General features: G+C 54.7%; 1 protein-coding gene across 7 annotated transcripts in view, besides 3 other annotated features; it reads right to left on the minus strand.

The window, feature by feature from the left end:
* Positions 334 to 17,492, minus strand: part of PDE4C (phosphodiesterase 4C) — a 47,398-nt gene continuing 30,239 nt past the window's right edge. For 5 of the 7 annotated variants that reach the window (NM_001414480.1, NM_000923.6, NM_001330172.2 and 2 more), the window contains 14 exons: positions 14,501 to 14,692; positions 13,630 to 13,666; positions 13,474 to 13,547; positions 13,243 to 13,292; positions 12,772 to 12,884; positions 12,595 to 12,688; positions 11,603 to 11,766; positions 11,309 to 11,407; positions 10,703 to 10,867; positions 10,518 to 10,617; positions 9,110 to 9,264; positions 5,737 to 5,859; positions 4,128 to 4,310; positions 334 to 3,645 (listed from right to left, as the gene is read on the minus strand). In NM_001414480.1, coding sequence (NP_001401409.1) covers positions 3,298 to 3,645; positions 4,128 to 4,310; positions 5,737 to 5,859; positions 9,110 to 9,264; positions 10,518 to 10,617; positions 10,703 to 10,867; positions 11,309 to 11,407; positions 11,603 to 11,766; positions 12,595 to 12,688; positions 12,772 to 12,884; positions 13,243 to 13,292; positions 13,474 to 13,547; positions 13,630 to 13,666; positions 14,501 to 14,692 — 1,897 coding nt within the window. In that variant the 3' untranslated portion in view covers positions 334 to 3,297. Of the gene's footprint in view, positions 3,646 to 4,127; positions 4,311 to 5,736; positions 5,860 to 9,109; positions 9,265 to 10,517; positions 10,618 to 10,702; positions 10,868 to 11,308; positions 11,408 to 11,602; positions 11,767 to 12,594; positions 12,689 to 12,771; positions 12,885 to 13,242; positions 13,293 to 13,473; positions 13,548 to 13,629; positions 13,667 to 14,500; positions 14,693 to 16,603; positions 16,863 to 17,492 lie in introns of those variants that run through there. The other 2 variants (NM_001098819.4, NM_001369701.2) reach the window with 2 other exon arrangements.
* Positions 11,658 to 12,857: an enhancer, noted in NCBI's record as "BRD4-independent group 4 enhancer chr19:18330099-18331298 (GRCh37/hg19 assembly coordinates)". NCBI's record gives its function as "activates an origin of replication core promoter dependent on BRD2, P300/CBP, MED14 and CDK7 cofactors, and independent of BRD4, by STARR-seq in HCT116 cells {active_cell/tissue: HCT116}" and the evidence as "EXISTENCE:reporter gene assay evidence [ECO:0000049][PMID:35650434]".
* Positions 16,235 to 16,304: a silencer, noted in NCBI's record as "silent region_10380". NCBI's record gives its function as "represses an Ori minimal core promoter by ATAC-STARR-seq in GM12878 lymphoblastoid cells {active_cell/tissue: GM12878}" and the evidence as "EXISTENCE:reporter gene assay evidence [ECO:0000049][PMID:35858748]".
* Positions 16,915 to 17,154: an enhancer, noted in NCBI's record as "active region_14307". NCBI's record gives its function as "activates an Ori minimal core promoter by ATAC-STARR-seq in GM12878 lymphoblastoid cells {active_cell/tissue: GM12878}" and the evidence as "EXISTENCE:reporter gene assay evidence [ECO:0000049][PMID:35858748]".

Raw genomic sequence — 17,492 nt, forward strand, 5'->3', positions numbered from 1 at the left:
CCCAGGCTAGAGTGCAGTGGCTCGATCTTGGCTCACTGCAAGCTCCGCCTCCCGGGTTCAGGCCATTCTCCTGCCTCAGCCTCCCGAGTAGCTGGGACTACAGGCGCCTGCAACCACGCCCGGCTAATTTTTTGTATTTTTAGTAGAGACGGGGTTTCACTGTTAGCCAGGACGGTCTCGATCTCCTGACCTCGTGATCCGCCCGCCTCGGCCTCCCAAAGTGCTGGGATTACAGGCGTGAGCCACCGCGCCCAGCCAAAAATATGAATATCTTATAACAGATGGAGAAAAACTAGAGGGAAATAAGTCAAAATACTGCAGATAATCCATGGGTGGAGATACAGCAGAATTTTATTTCCTTCTTTATACATTTCCATTATTTCCAAATTTTTTACAGCGAACATGGTATTACTTTGTAAGCGGACTGGGGGGAAAAATCTTGAAAAAAAAATTCCCTAAATATCTTCTTTTTAAAAGTCTGGAAGGAAATGCACCAAGTTCGTGAACCCGGATGACTTTTAGTTCTGGCACTGTGGAATTTTATCATTAACTGTGATGATGATGAATTCTGAGTGGTTATAATATTTATGAACGAAGCCAGCTGCTCTGGAAGCCGAGGGCGGCTGTGATGACGCCTGTATCTTGTATAAATATTCAGGCACGCGAAGAGGGAGGCAGAGGGGAGGGATGGATACTGAGGCTTCCGGAGGCGGGGATCGAACCCTAGGCTTGAGCATGGTGCTGCCCAGTCCGCTCGGAGGCCCGACCAGCAGGACGAGCTCTTCCCGGCGAGGTGCGGTAAGTGGGACCATCAGGGCTGGAGGATGCCACCCCTCCGACCCACCCCCCAACCCCCGACAAGCGCGCCCCGCCGTGTCTCCCACGCCCGCCACCAGGGGGTGCCGCTGGCTAACATTGGGCGCCCAGATGCTTGACTTTGAGCTGGCAAGAGGACCTCTCTGCGCCTCAGTTTCCTCATCAGTGAAATGGCCAGGACACTCAATTTGGTCAATCGAATGTCTTAAGATGTAAAGATTTTATTTAACCCCAGATAAATGCTCAGTACCCCAAATGTCTAAGATATTTCAGGGAGGTCACAGACAACAACCCCCCACACCTCGTCGGAGTTTATCCAAGTACTAGGATCAGGTTACAGAGGGGAAACTGAGGCCCAGAAGAGGCTATGATGGCAAGAAAGCCTCAGGGGCCTCCCTCCCTCTAGGGGGAGTCTGAGGCAGTTTCAGGAATCAGGAGACTTAGAGACCTGCTAGAGAGGGAAAATTGTGTGTTTTTGTTGCTGTCCTAGGGAAGGAGGAACACGTAGGGGACCCAGTATGGAGTTCTGCGGACAGAGAAAGCAGGGGGCTCCTACATCCAGAGACACCAAAGACAGAAAATAAAGCGACTTAAAGCAACAACTGGTGCATAGGTTCAATCAGTCTTCAGAGACATGCCGGGCACAGAGCCCCCTCTTTTTATTGTTGTTGTCGTTGCCCAGGCTGGAGTGCAGTGGCGCGACCTCGGCTCACCACAACCTCCACCTCCCGGGTTCAAGCGATTCTCCTGCCTCAGCCTCTCAAGTAGCTGGGATTACAGGCACCTGCCACCATGCCTGGCTAATTTTTTTTTTTTCTTTTTGAGACGGAGTCTTGCTCTGTCACCCAGGCTGGAGTGCAATGGCACGATCTCGGCTCACTGCAAGCCCCGCCTCCCGGATTCAAGCGATTCTCCTGCCTCAGCCTCCCGAGTAGCTGGGATTCAGGCACCCAACACCATGCCCAGCTAATTTGTGTATTTTTAGTAGAGATGGGGTTTCACCGTGTTGGCCAGGCTGGTCTTGAACTCCTGACCTCGTGATCCACCCGCCTCGGCCTCCCAAAGTTCTGGGATTACAGGTGTGAGCCGCCGCACCCAGCCTCTAATTTTTTGTATTTTTAGTAGAGACAGGGTTTCACTATGTTGGCCAGGCTGATTTTGAACTCCTGATCTCAGGCGATCCACCCCCACTCAGCCTCCCAAAGTGCTAGGATTACAGGCGTGAGCCACCTGGCCCGGCTTTTTTTTTTTTCTTTTCTTTTTTGAGACAGTGTCTTGCTCTGTCGCCCAGGCTGGAGTGCAGTGGCATGATGTCGGCTCACTGCAACCTCCACCTCCTGAATTCAAGTGATTCTCCTGCCTCAGCCTCCCCAGTAGCTGGGATTACAGGCACCCGCCACCATGCCCAGCCAATTTTTGTATTTTTAGTAGAGATGGGGTTTCACCATGTTGGCCAGGCTGGTCTCGAACTCCTAACCTCAGGTGATCCACCTGCCTCAGCCTCCCAAAGTGCTGGGATTATAGGCATGGGCCACTGTGCTCGGCCTCAGAGCCCCGTCTCTTTCCTTTCCTTCTCTTTTCTTTTTATTTTTAGACAGGATCTTGCTGTGTTGCCCAGGCTGGAGTGCAGTGATGCAGTCATAGCTCTCTTCAGCCTCCAACTCCTGGGCTCAAGCGATCCCCTTTGTCTCAACCTTCTGAGTAGCTGGGATTCTCAGGTGCACACCACCATGCCTGGCTAATTTTTTTTTTCAGAGATGGTGGGGGTCTTGCTATGTTGCCCAGGCTGGTCTCAAACTCCTGAGCTTAAGCAGTCCTCCCACCTCAGCCTCCCAAAGTACCGGGATTACAGGCATAAGCCACTATGCCTTGCCCAGCCCTTCTTTTCTGCTCCTCTTCCTGCCCCCTACCGTAGTTTCAGAAACAAAACTGGGTATGAGTGAAGCTTTGGTGCTGAAAATTTTCCCCACTCACATTTCCATGCTCTTGCAGAGAGCCGCTTGGTAGAGGAAGACAGGGAGATGCCTTTGGGATGGTCTCCTGACTCCCCACCCTTTGTGCAGGGCTACTACAGAGGCAGAAAGCTGGCACGAAGTAGATGAGCAATAAATATTTGATAAAGAAGGAAATAATTAAGTGACAGATGTGACTCAAGAGTGACCACTGGAGAGGGTGGACTAGAGGCTCCAGCAGACAGCACCTCTCCTCACAGGGATAGAAGCCCAGGAGAAAGACACCAGGGCATCGTAAGAGGCTGCCCCTTAGAGAGCTCTTTTAGGCAAGTCTAGGGTCAGAGTGGACCCCAGCCAGGTGCCTCCAATTAGACCCTGGGAGCCACCTATAACTAAGAGCTTGATTGTCTCCCTAAATGGGTGGGAAAGTGAAGCAGGAGCCACATGGAGCCTCTTCCTGGAAAGTCTGCCTGCCAAGAGCCAAAGGGCTTTACCATCCATTGCCCCTGCAGTTCACGCAGGGCTGGCCCTAAGTCCTCTGGTTGTCGAGGGGTAAGTCCCCAGGGTCTGGGCCGGCTTCAGGGGACAGGAGTTCAGTGTCAGGCAACTCCAAGGCCTCTTTGGCTAAAGCTGTCTCTTCCCCCTCCTCTTCTTCCTCCTCATCCTCTTCCTCTGCCTCCTCCAGAGTCAGTTCAAACTGGAATCTGTCAGGCCCGTCCCGCTCGGGGTTGGTGAGGTCTGAGGGACTTCGGGGGATCTTGCTCTGGTACCACTCTCGATTGTCCTCCAGCGTGTCCAGCAGGTCCTGTGCATCTGGGTGGACCAGGTCAGCCCAAGTCTCCCACAGTGGGTGAGCAATGTAGTCAATGAAACCCACCTGTGGCGGGGGGTGGGGCATGTCGGCATTTGGTGAGTTACAGTGAACCCTAGACTCAATCCAGCCTCCAGATCTTTAGCCAAGTTGTTCCCTCTGCCTGGAATGCCGCTTCCCAACAACTGCTCATCCTTCAAAACCCTTTTCAAATAACTCATTCTCTAGAATGCCTCCCTTAACCCTTCTGGCCTCCTCCAACCCCAACCCTAACCCCACAGGGCTGAATGTACGTGTCCCCCAGACTGGAAGCCCCTCCAGGGTCCCGCATGTCACCTAGAACAGATGTTTCCAAACCCCAGAAGTGCATGTCCCTCTCCCTGAAGCCCAGAGAGAATGGATCCCAGGTCTAACTCGGCCCAGACAGCACCCTTCAGGCACACTCCCTGGCTAGCCAGCCAGGGCCAAACCAGGGCTCGTGGGGTTGGCTCAGCCCCTCCTTTTACTTCCTCCCAGTGTCTACCGGTTCAGCCCAGTCCCCTGCCAACCTGGGACTTCTCCACTGAGGCCGTATGCTTGTCACACATGGGACTGATGTCCAGGCCCGACTCACGCTCGCGGTCTCCCTGCTGGAAGAACTCGGCCATGATGCGGTCCGTCCACTGGCGGTACAGGGGCAGCGGCTTGGTGGGGTTGCTCAGATCAGCACAGTGCACCAGGTTCTGCAAGACCTACAGAGATCGAGGCTTGGGAGGGCACTGGCGGGGCCCAGCCACACCTAGACCTGGCACCTCCACAGACAGGCTTGGTGCCATGGACACATTCATCTTACAGGTGGGGAAACTGAGGCCTGAGACCTGAAGAAATGGTTAAGGCACAGGCATGTGACTCTTGCCATTTCTTCAAGTTTGGCATCCAGTCGGCACTTCATAAATGAAGCTAAATGAGAATTGCAAAAATGGAGGCCCTCTCCGATTTTTTTTTTTTTAATGAGTTAGGGTCTCACGCTGTGACCCTGGCTGGAGTGCAGTGGCAAGATCTTGGCTCACTGCAACCTCTGCCTCCCAGGCTCAAATGATCCTCCCAGCCCAGCCTCCCGAGTAACTGGAACTATAGGCATGCGCCACCATGCCTGGCTAATTTTTGTATTTTTGTAGAGACGGGGTGTTGCCCAGGCTGGTCTCAAACTCCTGAGCTCAAGCGATCCACCCATCTCAGCCTCTCAAAGTGCTGGGATTACAGGTGTGAGCCACTGAGCCCAGCTTTTTTTTTTTTTTTTTAAGAGACAGGGTCTCACTCAGTTGCCCAGGCTGGAGTGCAATGGTGCAATCACAGCTCACTGCAGCCTCTAACTCCTGGCCTCAAGCAATCCTCACACCTTGGCCTCCCAAAGTGCTGGGATTACAGGCATGAGCCACTGCGCCCAGCCTTCACTCTAAATGTGTAAGAAACCTGGCTAAAATTGTTTTTGTTTGTTTGTTTTGGCTTGTTTTTTTGAGATGGAGTCTTGCTTTGTCACCCAGGCTGGAGTGCAGTGGGGTGATTTCGGCTCACTGCAACCTCTACCTCCCAGGTTCAAGCAATTCTCTGCCTCAGCCTCCCGAGTAGCTGAGATTACAGGCGCCCGCCACCACACCCAGCTAATTTTTGTATTTTTAGTAGAGATGGGGTTTCACCATCTTGGCCAGACTGGTCTTGAACTCCTGACCTCATGATCTGCCTGCCTCGGCCTCCCAAAGTGCTGGGATTATAGGCGTGAGCCACTGCGCCCGGCTGCTAAAGTTGTTTTTAAAGTAAAACCGGCCGGGCGCGGTGGCTCACGCCTGTAATCCCAGCACTTTGGGAGGCCGAGGTGGGCGGATCTCAATCTCATGGAGATTGAGACCATGGTGAAACCCCGTCTCTACTAAAAATACAAAAAAAATTAGCTGGGCGCGGTGCCGGGCACCTGTAATCCCAGCTACTCGGGAGGCTGAGGCAGGAGAATGGCGTGAACCTGGGAGGCAGAGCTTGCACTGAGCCAAGATGGCGCCACTGCACTCCAGCCTGGGCGACAGAGTGAGACTCCGTCTCAATAAATAAATAAATACATAAATAAATAAATAAAGTAAAACCAAAATTTAAAAAGGAAGCCCCAGTGCCCATCCAGCTACACACCTGGATTCGGTCGGAATAGTTGTCCAGGAGGAGGACACCGAGGCTTGTCACCTTCTTGGTCTCCACCATGGTCTTGAGGTCGGCCAGGAGGTTCATGTGTTTGGACATGTCTGTGGCCAGCACCTGGGGGCAGGCAAGGGAAGGTGACAGGCGCGAGGACCCTGCCCACCCCAACCCTCACTCCCAACTCCCAGATGCCACTCTGGCTCAGACTCAGCCCTCTGGGCCTCAGCATACTCATCTGTGAAATGGAAGGATGCAACTGCATTCACTGCAAACTCTGCTCAAAAGAGGGGCTCAGTCAGGGGCCCCTTTTGGGAGGTCATCTGGGTTGGCCATGAATTCCACATGTGTGACAGGGTGTAGTGGGGAGGTGATCAAATCTGTGCGCCTGGGACTTGTCAGACAGAGTCTCCCACAGTGGGTGGGCATTGTAGTCAATGAAACCCACCTGTGGGGTGGGTGGGGCGGAAGGCATTCGTTGAGTCACAGCAAACCCTAGAACCAATCCAGCCTCCAGATCTTTAGCCACGTTGTTCCCTCTGCCTGGAATGCCGCTTCCCAACTCCTACTCATCCTTCAAAGCCCTTTTCAAATAACCCACCCTCAGGCTGGGCGCCGTGGCTCACGCCTGTAATCCCAGCACTTTGGGAGGCCGAGGCAGGTGGATCACGAGGTCAGGAGATCGAGACCATCCTGGCTAACATGGTGAAACCCCGTCTCTACTAAAAATACAAAAAGTTAGCCTGGCATGGTGGTGGGCACCGGTAGTCCCAGCTACTCGGAAGGCTGAGGCAGGAGAATGGCATGAACCCAAGAGGCGGAGCTTGCAGGGAGCCGAGATCCTGCAACAGATCTGGGCGACAGAGCAAGACTCCGTCTCAAAAAAAAAAAAAAAATAACCCATCCTCTAGGATGCCTCTGTTGACCCTTCTGGCCTCCTCCAACCCCAACTGTGACCCCACAGGGCTGGTTAGGGGCTAGGGTGACTTGTGCCTGAGGACAGTGGGGAGGATGAGTTCTGTGCAAAGGGGCTGGAAGAGTTGGGTACATGGGAGGGAACTAAAAGAGGTGGCTGTGGCTGGAAGAAGTGAGCTCAAGAGAAAGGGAGGTGAGATTGAAGAGACTGAGGGCCTCTGGCAGCTGGGGTAGATTGTCCAGAGGCTATGGGAGCCACAGGGGAGTTTGCAGCTCACTGTGGGGAGGGATGTGACTTCATACCCCTCAAACTTCCATGTAGCCACCATGTGCCCTGGAGGGCTATTTCTAGGCACAGATGTTTAAAAACCAGATTAACCCAGCCGGGCGCCGTGGCTCACACCTGTAATCCCAACACTTTGGGAGGCAGAGGTGGGTGGATTACCAGAGGTCAGAAGTTCAAGACCAGCATGGCCAACATGGTGAAACCCCGTCTCCACTAAAAATACAAAAAATTAGCCGGGTGTGGTGGCAGGCACCTGTAATCCCAGCTACTCAGAGGCTGAGGCAGGAGAATCACTTGAACCCAGGAGGTGGAGGTTGCAGTGAGCCAGGATCACACCATTGCACTCCAGCCTGAGTGACAGAGCAAGACTCCATTTCAAAAAAAAAAAAAAAAAAAACTTAACCCACCCATGTGGACTCAGCCCAGCCAGGAGTGACTCAGATGTGGTTCACCGGCTTCTCTGAGAGTCAGACAAAAGTCTCAAAACTTCTCCTCAAATCTCTCATCTGTCCCAAATGCTGTCTCCCCACCCTGTGGGTACCCACCACTCAAGACCCCAACTCCACCTCACCAAACGTTTAGTTCTTTCTCACTCCAAGCCTTGGCTTTCTCTAAGCCCTCCTCACGTGGGGTTCCCTCTGCTGAGAACACAGCCTTCCTCATTCTGCACACCCTGGCTTCAATGTTCCCTCTCCAAGAAGCCCTTTCTGACCTCTTTGGCTGGTCTGGGCTCCGAAAGCACCTTGAACCTTCCTCCTCACAGCTCTGCCTGCAGGTCCCTAGTCAAGGGTTAGAATTTCATAACGGCCGGAACTGTCTTTGCACAGATCAAGCACACAATAGGTGCTCAATAAATGCTTGTTAAGTGAATGAATGAGGCATGAGACCCCAAAACTTACTGATGTGCCCCTACCTAAAAAAAAAAAAAATTCAAATGGATAGATGTGTATAATTTTTTTTTTTGAGACAGAGTCTTGCTCTGTTGCCAGGCTGGAATGCAGTGTGCGATCTCCGCTCACTGCAATCTCCGCCTCCCGGGTTCAAATGATTCTCCTGACTCAGCCTCCCGAGTAGCTGAGACTACAGGTGCATGCCACCACACCCAGCTAATTTTTGTATTTTTAGTAGAGACAGGGTTTCACCATGTTGGCCAGGATGGTCTTGATCTCTTGACCTCATGATCCGCCTGCCTCGGCCTCCCAAACTGTTGGGACTACAGGCCTGAGCCACCGTGCCTGGCTGCTTAATTTTTTTCTTTTCTTTTTTTTTTTTTTTTGAGACAGAGTCTCACTCTGTTGCTGAGGCTAGAGTGCCGTGGTGCAATCTCCGCTCACTGCCACCTCCACCTCCCGGGTTCAAGCGATTCTCCTGCCTCAGCCTCCCAAGTATCTGGGATCACAGGTGCCCGCCACCAGGCCCGGCTAATTTTTGTATTTTTAGTAAAAACAGGGGTTTCACCATGTTGATCAAGCTGGTCTCGAACTCTTGACCTCAAGTGATCCACCCGCCTCAGCCTCCCAAAGTGCTGGGATTACAGGCGTGAGCCACCACGCCTGGCCCAGATGTGCTTAATTTAAGGCTTAGCAAAAGTTGCACCTGACACCCCAGAAACGGTTTCCACATTGCCTGGGTACAGCCAGGATCTGCTGGGCCCAGCAGAGGGCCTGGGGTTTGGGCAGTCACTAGCCCCTTTTTTTTTTTTTTTGAGATGGAGTCTCACTCTGTTGCTGAGACTGGAGTGCAGTGGTGCGATCTCAGCTCACTAGCTCACTAGCTCACTACAGCCTCCGCCTCCTGGGTTCTAGCAATTCTCCTGCCTCAGTCTCCCAAGTAGCTGGGATGACAGGTGCACACCACCACACCCAGCTAATTTTTGTATTTTTAGTAGAGACGAGGTTTCACCATGTTGGTCAGGCTGGTCTCGAACTCCTGACCTCAGGTGATTCGCCCGCCTCTGCTTCCCAAAGTGTTAGGATTACAGGCATGAGCCACCGCCCCTGGCCCCACTGTTCCATTTCACAGATGAGGAAGCTCAGACAGAGTGAGGACATGCCTGGGTCTGGATGAACCGCCGGCCATGCCAATATCACCCCACCCTGCTGTCTGCAGATGAGAAGGATGCCCCGCTCCCCTCTGCCCCTCCCGCCCCGCTTACTGCCCTGGCCTCACCATGTCAATGACCATCCTGCGCAGACTCAGTCGCTGCTTGGCGCTGAGGTTCTGGAAGATATCGCAGTTCTCTGCCTGCAGCAGCTTGAAGCCCACAGCCAGGTGATGGTTCTCCAGCACCGAGGCGTCGTTGTACATAAGCGCCAGCTCTGAGTCTGTGAGGGTATGGGACTGAGAGCCCCAAGATCCACCCGCCCCACCCACTCTACCCAAAAGCAGCTTTTGGAAATCCTTAGCAAACTCCTACCCATGCGTTGAAGGCCCAACTCTAGCATGCCCTCCTGTAAGAAACCATCCAGGTCCCTGGCGCTTCCCTGACTGCAGGGCTAGGGTTGTCTGTGTTTGGCTCTGCCTACCCAAGACTGGGAAGGCTCCTCATGGACCCCCTATGGCCAGTGACAGTGAGTACTCAGTAATGTTTTTTTTTTTTCTTTTTCTTTTTTAGAGACAGGGTCTTGCTGTCACCCAGGCTGGAGTGCAGTGGTGCAATCACGGTTCCCTGCAGCCTCAACCTCCTGGCCTCAAGTGATCCTCCCATCTCAGCCTCCTGAGTAGTTGGGATTACAGGTGTGTGCCACCACCCTTGACTAATTTTTGTTATTTTTTTGAGAGACAGGGTCTCACTGTATTGCCCAGGCTGGTCTCGAACTCCTGGCTTCAAGCAATCCTCCCACTTCGGCCTCCCACAATGTTGGGATTACAGGTGTGAGCCATGGCACCCAGTCTCTGGACTCTAGGTCCTTTTGAGTGAGGGGCCTCCACTCTCACCCCCAGCACTCCAGGGCTTGTACACAAAAGGTGCCCAATAATTGCCTGTCAACTGAGTTTTTCAGATTCCTCATAGGATCCTAAACTTTAAGATCTTGGTGGAACTGTCTGGGCGCGGTGGCTCGTGCCTGTAATCCCAGCACTTTGGGAGGCTGAGGCAGACAGATCGCTTGAGGCCAGGAGTTTGAGACCAGCCTGGGTAACAGAGCGAAACCCTGTCTCTACGAAAAATACAAAAATTAGCCAGGCATGGTAGTGTGTGCCTGTAATCCCAGCTACTCGGGAGGCTGAGGCTAGACAATCGCTTGAACCTGGGAGGTAGAGGTTGCAGTGAGCCGAAATCGCGCCACTGCACTCCAGCCTGGGTGACAGAGCAAGACACTGTCTTTAAAAATAAATAAATAAAGGTCTTGGTGGAACCAGATCAGCTCTGCCACAGCTCATTATTCTGTCATTTGTTGGCACCTACTGTGTACCCAGACCTGCTCCAAGACCCTGAAGGGAGGGAAAACTGTCATAGTCATTTCATAGACAGGGAGACTGGGCTCAGGGCAGATGGGAACCCCCTGAGATCACCTGGTGGACAGGGTGGAGGCAGGGTCCACCTCTTCTCCTGCACCCACTTCCCACTCCTACTTACTGGTGTTAATCAGAAACTGGTTGGAGACCCCAGGATGGTCCACGTCGTGGATGGCGCTTGCAAAGAGGGCAGCCAGGATTTCCAAGTCTGTGAACACAGCCTGAGCAGGCAGAGGGCACAGGCGGTGAGGGGCGGGTTCTCTGGGCCCTGCACCCGCCCACCTGCCTGCAGTCATGGCGCAGTACCTCGAGGGCGGGCGTAGCCAGCAGCACATGCGTGGACTGGGCCACGTCGGCGGCATGTAGGCTGTTGTGGTAGGCCACATTGGCGTGGTAGTGACCTTCCAGCATCAGCAGGTAGGTGGCCAGTGTGTCTGCTGGGATCTGGAATGTCTTCAGCAGGTCCCGCTCCTGGTCCATCACAGACCCTGGCTCAGGGCCTTGGCCTTGGGGCTGCAGCACACGCTGTTCCTACCCCTCTCTTCTGAACTCCTATCTATGCCTCAAGCACCTGCTCCTCTGAGATGCCCTCTGTGCTCTCCTGAACTCCTCCACTCTGTGTTATTTGGTGGTCCATCCCTGACCCTACAGGACTGGGGGTGTCTCTGTCCAGCTCTTCTCTCCAGATTTCTCTCCTCTTCAGGGCCAGGGGCCGGGCCAGGGCTGAGGCTTCTGGACAACAAACTGTTCATCTGAGTGAACTCCTATTCATCCTTCAATACCCTGCTCAAATTATCCCCTTCAGAAATGTCAGGGAGGATTTGAAAAATGAGTGTCCCTGAGGTCTGTGGTAGGAAGCAGTGAGGGAAACCCCAGGAGTTTTTCCTTGGAAGCCAAGGGCAGGGTAGGTACCTGAAAAATGCTGAATATGATAGCTGTGAGGGGCCGGTTCCCACTTAGCTCCGCCACCTTGAACACATCAAGTCCCCACTTGTTGGTGTCTTCTAGCTCCTAAGATATGAAGGGCTGAAGCTTAATTAACCCCAGCCCAACTTCCCCAGACTCTAGAGCCTCCATCCTCCCACCCCAGGTTCCACAGTGAGCCCCAACTGCCCAGTATATAGGTGGGCAAACAGGCCCGAGATAGGGCATCCAGACAGAGCCAGGGACCAAACCTTGATCTTGGCATTGTGGTTGGGGACCCACCTTGGCCAGTTGCTCCTCCTGGTCAGTCTGGACCCCAAAGCGTGGGACAGTGGCTGAGGAGAGGCTGGCACTGTGGCAGAGCCCATGTAGGCCACTGATCCGGGACATGGGCTGTGGGGCCTCCTCAGCGGTCACCTTGGGCAGCTCCACCTCGGTCTGCTGGTCTGCGGATGGGCCAGGGTGAAGCTCAGAGAAGCCGATTTCACCTGCTGGGGCCTGGCCTCAGGACCTGAATTTTGCCAAACCCCAGAATCAACCTATTTCCCTTTCTACAGGAACCAAAGTAAGTTCGGAGTAAAGACCCTGTCGGCCGGACGCAGTGGCTCACGCCTGTAATCCCAGTGCTTTGGGAGGTCGAGGTGGGCAGATCACTTGAGGTCAGGAGTTCGAGACCAGTCTGAGCAATACGGTGAAACCCCATCGCTACTAAAAATACAAAAATTAGTCACGTATGGTGGCAGGCACCTGTAACCCCAGCTACTCAGGAGGCTGAGGTGGGAGAATTGCTTGAACCCAGGAGGCGGAGGTTGCAGTGGCTGAGATTGCACCACTGCACTCCCGCCTAGGCAACAAAGTGAAACTCTGTATCAAAAAAAAAAAAAAGATCCTGTCTTGCCTGTAGCTACCTACCCCTCTCCTCTGTTCACAGCTGATCTCAGTAAACCCTTCTGCTAGGCTTGGCCCCTGGGTGCCTGGGGCTCAGCATTTTCCCCCAAACAGCCTAATGTCCTTTCCGTCTCCCAAGCTAGTGTCTGGTTCCCTCCATCTCCTCCTAGGCAAATTTCTACTCATGCTTCAAAACCGTAGCTTTAATGTCCCCTGCTCCTGGAAGTTCCCCTTGTTCCTCCCTCTGATCCAGCCCTGACTCATGGGGGCTGAAGGTGTCTGTGTCTGGCTGTATCTCCCCCAGACTGAGGTCTATCATAGGAATCTTTCTTTTGTTTCTTAGTACTCCTAAAATGTCGTCCAGGCAGTGACTCAACAAAGCTCACCCAGGAAGGTCCGGGAGATGTACTCGGACACCTGGTTCCCGGAGCGGCTGGTTTCGGACAGGTGGGTCAACTCCCGGTTCAGGATCCGCTTGAACTGGGGCGGAGAGAAGGTGAAGACCGTGATGATGGGGCACCGTGGGCCGAGGCAGGTGAGCTCAGCGATCTGCCCCACCTCACCTTGTTGGAGGCCATCTCCCCCACCGAGTGCCGGGTCTGCAGCGTCTCCAACTGATCCAGGCACCAGTCCAGCTCGTCTAGCGTCTCCAATGCCAGCTTCTGCCCCGTGTCCTCTGGGAGCCGAGGCAGTCAGGGGCCTGCCCAACCCCCCCGCTCAGGGACCCCACGCCTCTCGCGACTTCGTCTCTTCATCTGGACCCTGAAACTGTTCCCACGGGGGCCACCCAGGACTCCTGGACCCAAGTTCCAGATCTGTTCCCCGAGTGCCTGTGTGACCATGAGATCTCTGGGCCTCAGCCTCCTCATCTGTAATATGAGTGTGGTGGGGTCCATCCCCGAGGGCGTTATTGTTTTTGCAGGGGCGGGGCTACAATTAGCCCCAGTATAAGGGGCTCATGGACTGGGGAGGTCACTATGGAAAGGAAGCTCCCAGCTGTCCTCAGCGGGGGAGGGAAGGAACAGGTACTTTACCTGCAGGAGGGAGCTGATTGCTGGATGAAGGGTTTCCGACGGGTCCCTGCCTGCGGTACAGCAGCCTCAGGCGTGGCTGCTCCGCCCATCTCGCCCCGCCCCCAAGTCCACCAGGCCCCGCCCCTCAAACCCACCTGGAGGCGCCGGAGCCCCAGCCTCAATTTGCAGCCCGCTTTCCGCCCACCTTGTCTCTGCCGGCCCCGCCCCCGCCCCGCCCCGCCCTCTACCTACTTGGCTGCTCCTAGGCATTGCTGGCGGGCAAGGGCCGCCACGTTGCTCCGAACGGTCCGCAGACTGGCCAGGACCTGTTGGGAGGAGGTGGTAGGCGGTGGGAAGGAGAGGCCGGATCCGGAGGGGGTCAGGGCAGGGAGGGCGGGGGACACCCACCTGGGCAAAGGGCGTCACAATCATGTCCTCTCCATGTCTGCGAGGAGACGGGCCATCAGGGAGAGCTCTCTCCCATCTTCCAGCTTTTTACCCACACCATATGCCCTCAACTGAGGGGGTCCTGCTCTCAGGACTTCTCCTCCAGGCTCCTTCTTAGTCCCTGGGGTCCCCTCATGCGACTCTCCCTGAGACCCAGCACAGCCCCTCCAACCATTCACTCACTTTATCGGCATCTCATAAATGGGGAAACTGAGTCCTAGGGGTACGTAGATATTTCCCTTTTCATTATGCCTACTAGGAAGCTCAAATCAAAGTATTTCTTCATTTGCTGCTAATTGGCCTTAATGGTTTGTTTGTTTGTTTGTTTGTTTGTTTGTTTTCTGAGGCAGACTCTTGCTCTTTCGCCCAGGCTGGAGTGCAGTGGTGCCATCTCGGCTCACTACAACCTCCGCCTCCTGGGTTCAAGCGATTCTCGTGCCTCAGCCTCCTGAGTAGCTGGGACTACAGGCGCGCGCCACCACACCTGGCTAATTTTTGTATTTTTTAGTAGTGACAGGGTTTCACCATGTTGGCCAGGCTGGTCCTGAACACCTGACCTCAGGTGATCCGCCCACCTCGGCCTCCCAAAGTGTTGAGATTACAGGCGTGAGCCACCGTGCCCGGCCGACCTTAATGTTTTTGGATTACCACCCCTACTCCAGCAAAAGGCCAAGTTCTCTACACACTTGATTGAATATATGAGCTGTCTGGCAAACTCCTACTTAAACTTCAAAACCTTCCTTAAATGGCTATTTGAAGGAGCTTGCTGAATAGAGGAACAAAGGAAGGAGGGAGGGTAGAGGCGGTGTCATCCCACCAGCCCCAGACTCACAGGTCGCTGGCCACAGAGGAGTTCCGAGACATGGCCTTGGGCGAGAGTTCATAGTCGCTATCTGAGCGGTACAGGAAGGACTCGCGCCGCTGGCTGTGCGGGACTGGAGCCTGCATAATCCGGCCCAGGCCAGGGCTGGACTGAGGGTCCAGGGCCCTCCTCCCACACGAGAGCCCATTTTCCAGGTCAAAGCTGAAAGGAGAGACGGCATGGTCAGAGACGAGGGTCATGACAACTGGGTGCCGGGTCGTGGCCACCTTGTCTGGTGCGTCCTCCCTGGGGCTGCTTGGCAGTCAGGCAAGTGTGGTTTCCAGCTTGTTCACCTGCCCCCAGCTACACCCTCAGGAACCCTGCACCCCTCACACTTTGGTCTTTGAGTCTACACTGGACTCCAGGACCTCAGTTCCAGATCTTCCTCAAAGTGGCTATGTGGCCATGGACAGGTACTGACTTTCTCTGGACCTCAATCACCCTATTTCTTTTATTTTTTTTCTCTCTTTCTTTTTTTTTTTTCTTTCTCGTTCTTTCTCTCTCTCTCTCTCTCTCTCTCTCTCTCGCCCTTTCTTTTCTTTTTTTTTTTTTTTTTTTGACAGGGCCCCACTTTGTCACCCAGGCTGCAGTGCAGTGGTGTGATCCTACCTCACTGCAGCCTCAATCTCCTAAGCTCAAGCCATCCTCCAGCCTCAGCCTCCTGAGTAGCTGAGACTACAGGAGCATGCCCCAACACTCGGCTAATTTTAAAATTTTTTGTAGAGACCAGGTCTCACTATTTTGCCCAGGCTGGTCTTGAACTCCTGGCCTCAAACAATCCTCCCAGCTCCGCCTCCCAAAGTGCTGGGATTACAGGAGTGAGCCACCGCACCCGGCCTCCCCATTTCTTTTTTTTCTGTTTTTTGGGGTTTTTTTGAGACGAAATATTGCTCTGTTGCCTGCACTGGAGTGCAGTTATCCATGCTGGAGTGCAGTGGGGGAACGATCTCGGCTCACTGCAACCTCCACCTCCCGGGTTCAAGCAATTTTCTCGCCTCAGCCTCCCAAGTAGCTGGGATTACAGGTGCGCACCACCACGCCCGGCTAATTTTTTTTTTTTTTTTTTGAGACAGAGTTTCACTCTTGTTGCCCAAGCTGGAGTGCAATGGCACAATCTCAGCTCACCGCAACCTCCGCCTCCCAGGTTCAAGCAATTCTCCTGCCTCAGCCTCCCAAGGAGCTGGGATTACAGGCGTGTGCCACCACGCCCAGCTAATTTTGTATTTTTAGTAGAGACGGGGTTTCTCCATGTTGGTCAGGCTGGTCTTGAACTCCCGACCTCAGGTGATCCGCCCGCCTTGGCCTCCCAAAGTGCTGGGATTACAGGCGTGAGCCACCGTGCCCGGCCAAAGTTTTGTATTTTTACTAGAGACAGGGTTTCACCGTGTTGGCCAGGCTGCTCTTGAACTCCTGACCTCGTGATCTGCCCGCCTCGGCCTACCAAAGTACTGGGATTACAGGCATGAGCCACCGCACCCGGCCTCTCCTGTTTCTAACATGTGCGTGATGTAGCCCATCCCCGAGAGCTCTTTGAGGGGGTTACAACCGAACATCCAAAGACTGCGACTGGATGACCATATTGCAAAGGGACAAACTGAGATCTAGCTCACATGGTGGACACGTGGACTGGAAACAGCTTCTTGGGCTCTTCTACCTGGAGGAGGCCGGGGTTCTGCCTAGCTCCTGCGTGCGCCTTAGTCTAGAGAGACCCCACTCCTAGCCAACTTGCTCACACCCTTGGCTACCTGCCACGCCCCCAGCGTTCCAGGCTCCACCCTCAGCCCATAAGGCTCCGCCCCACGGCCGCCGACCACGCCCCCAGCTAGCCGGGTCCTGCCCTAGGCTCCCCCACTCCTCCACTTCATCTTCAGCCTGAACGTTCCGCCTGTTATCTTCCACCTCCGGGTCTTTGCACAGGCCGTGCTTTCTGCCCGGCCCACCCTCCTCCCTCTCCACACTACCTGTCCCGTTCTACCCTCAAACCCTGTCTTTCCCTCTGGCTCCTCCTCTTTGGGGTCAGAGGTCAGAGAAAGGGCGTAGGGCAAGAACTGGGGCGCTAGAGAAGGCGGTGACCTGGGGGTGGGTTTTCAAGAAGGGCAGGCGGAAGCGGCACCGACAGGAAGACAACCGGGACCGCCTGAGACTCGGAGCTCCCGGCCGAGGGCCAGTGTCCGGCTGGTCCCGGCCAAGACTTTTGGGTCAAAGGTCACCGTATCCCCGTCCACGAGCTGGGTCGGCACCCCGCGTAGGCTCAGATCTGGGTAGAGGTGGGGGATTTGGCAGCATTCGGTCCAAGTATGACCGGGTCTGAGTTGGGTCTGATCACGTCGAATTGGACTTGGTCACGAAGAGTTTGTTCGATGAGTTCGGGAGAATTCGGCTACGTCCGATTGAGCTCGGGAGACTTCGGATAAGTTCGAGCTTGTTCGCCTAAGTCCGGTTACGCTCGGTCTGCTTCGAACAAGTCCGGGTGACGCTCGGGCCGGGTCGGGCATGTTCGGTCACGTCCGGCTACATGAGGGCTAGTTCGGGCATCTCCGACTAAGACCGGCCGCGCTCGGCCTGTTCCGTCCGACTCCAGCGGGTTTAGCAGCACCGGGATGAACCCCACGGCCAGCCGAAGGGGCGGGGCTTCTTAACCCTTCCCTGGCCCGTCTGGGGTGCGCCGTGGGCGCTGTGGTGCAATGGGAGACGCTCTTAGGGGCGGACTGGAGGCGGCGGATAACCCAGATCTGCCCCTCGAGGGGGAGGCATGCGGATCGCGACCCCCTACCCCTCTCTCGGCTCTCCCCAAGGGTTCCAGAAAAGCGCGTCTGTGGACAAATAGGGAAACTGAGGCCAGGAGCGGCCACAGGGCGTGCAAATCCGGATCCCGGGCGCGGAGGGTTAAGGACTGGGCCCGGGTTTTCTTGGGGCGGGGGAGGCTGTTTTTCTTTCTGCTCTAAACTTAGCCGGGAGCGGC

Source organism: Homo sapiens, chromosome 19 (genome assembly GCF_000001405.40).
Source record: "Homo sapiens chromosome 19, GRCh38.p14 Primary Assembly".
Lineage (NCBI taxonomy): Eukaryota > Metazoa > Chordata > Mammalia > Primates > Hominidae > Homo > Homo sapiens.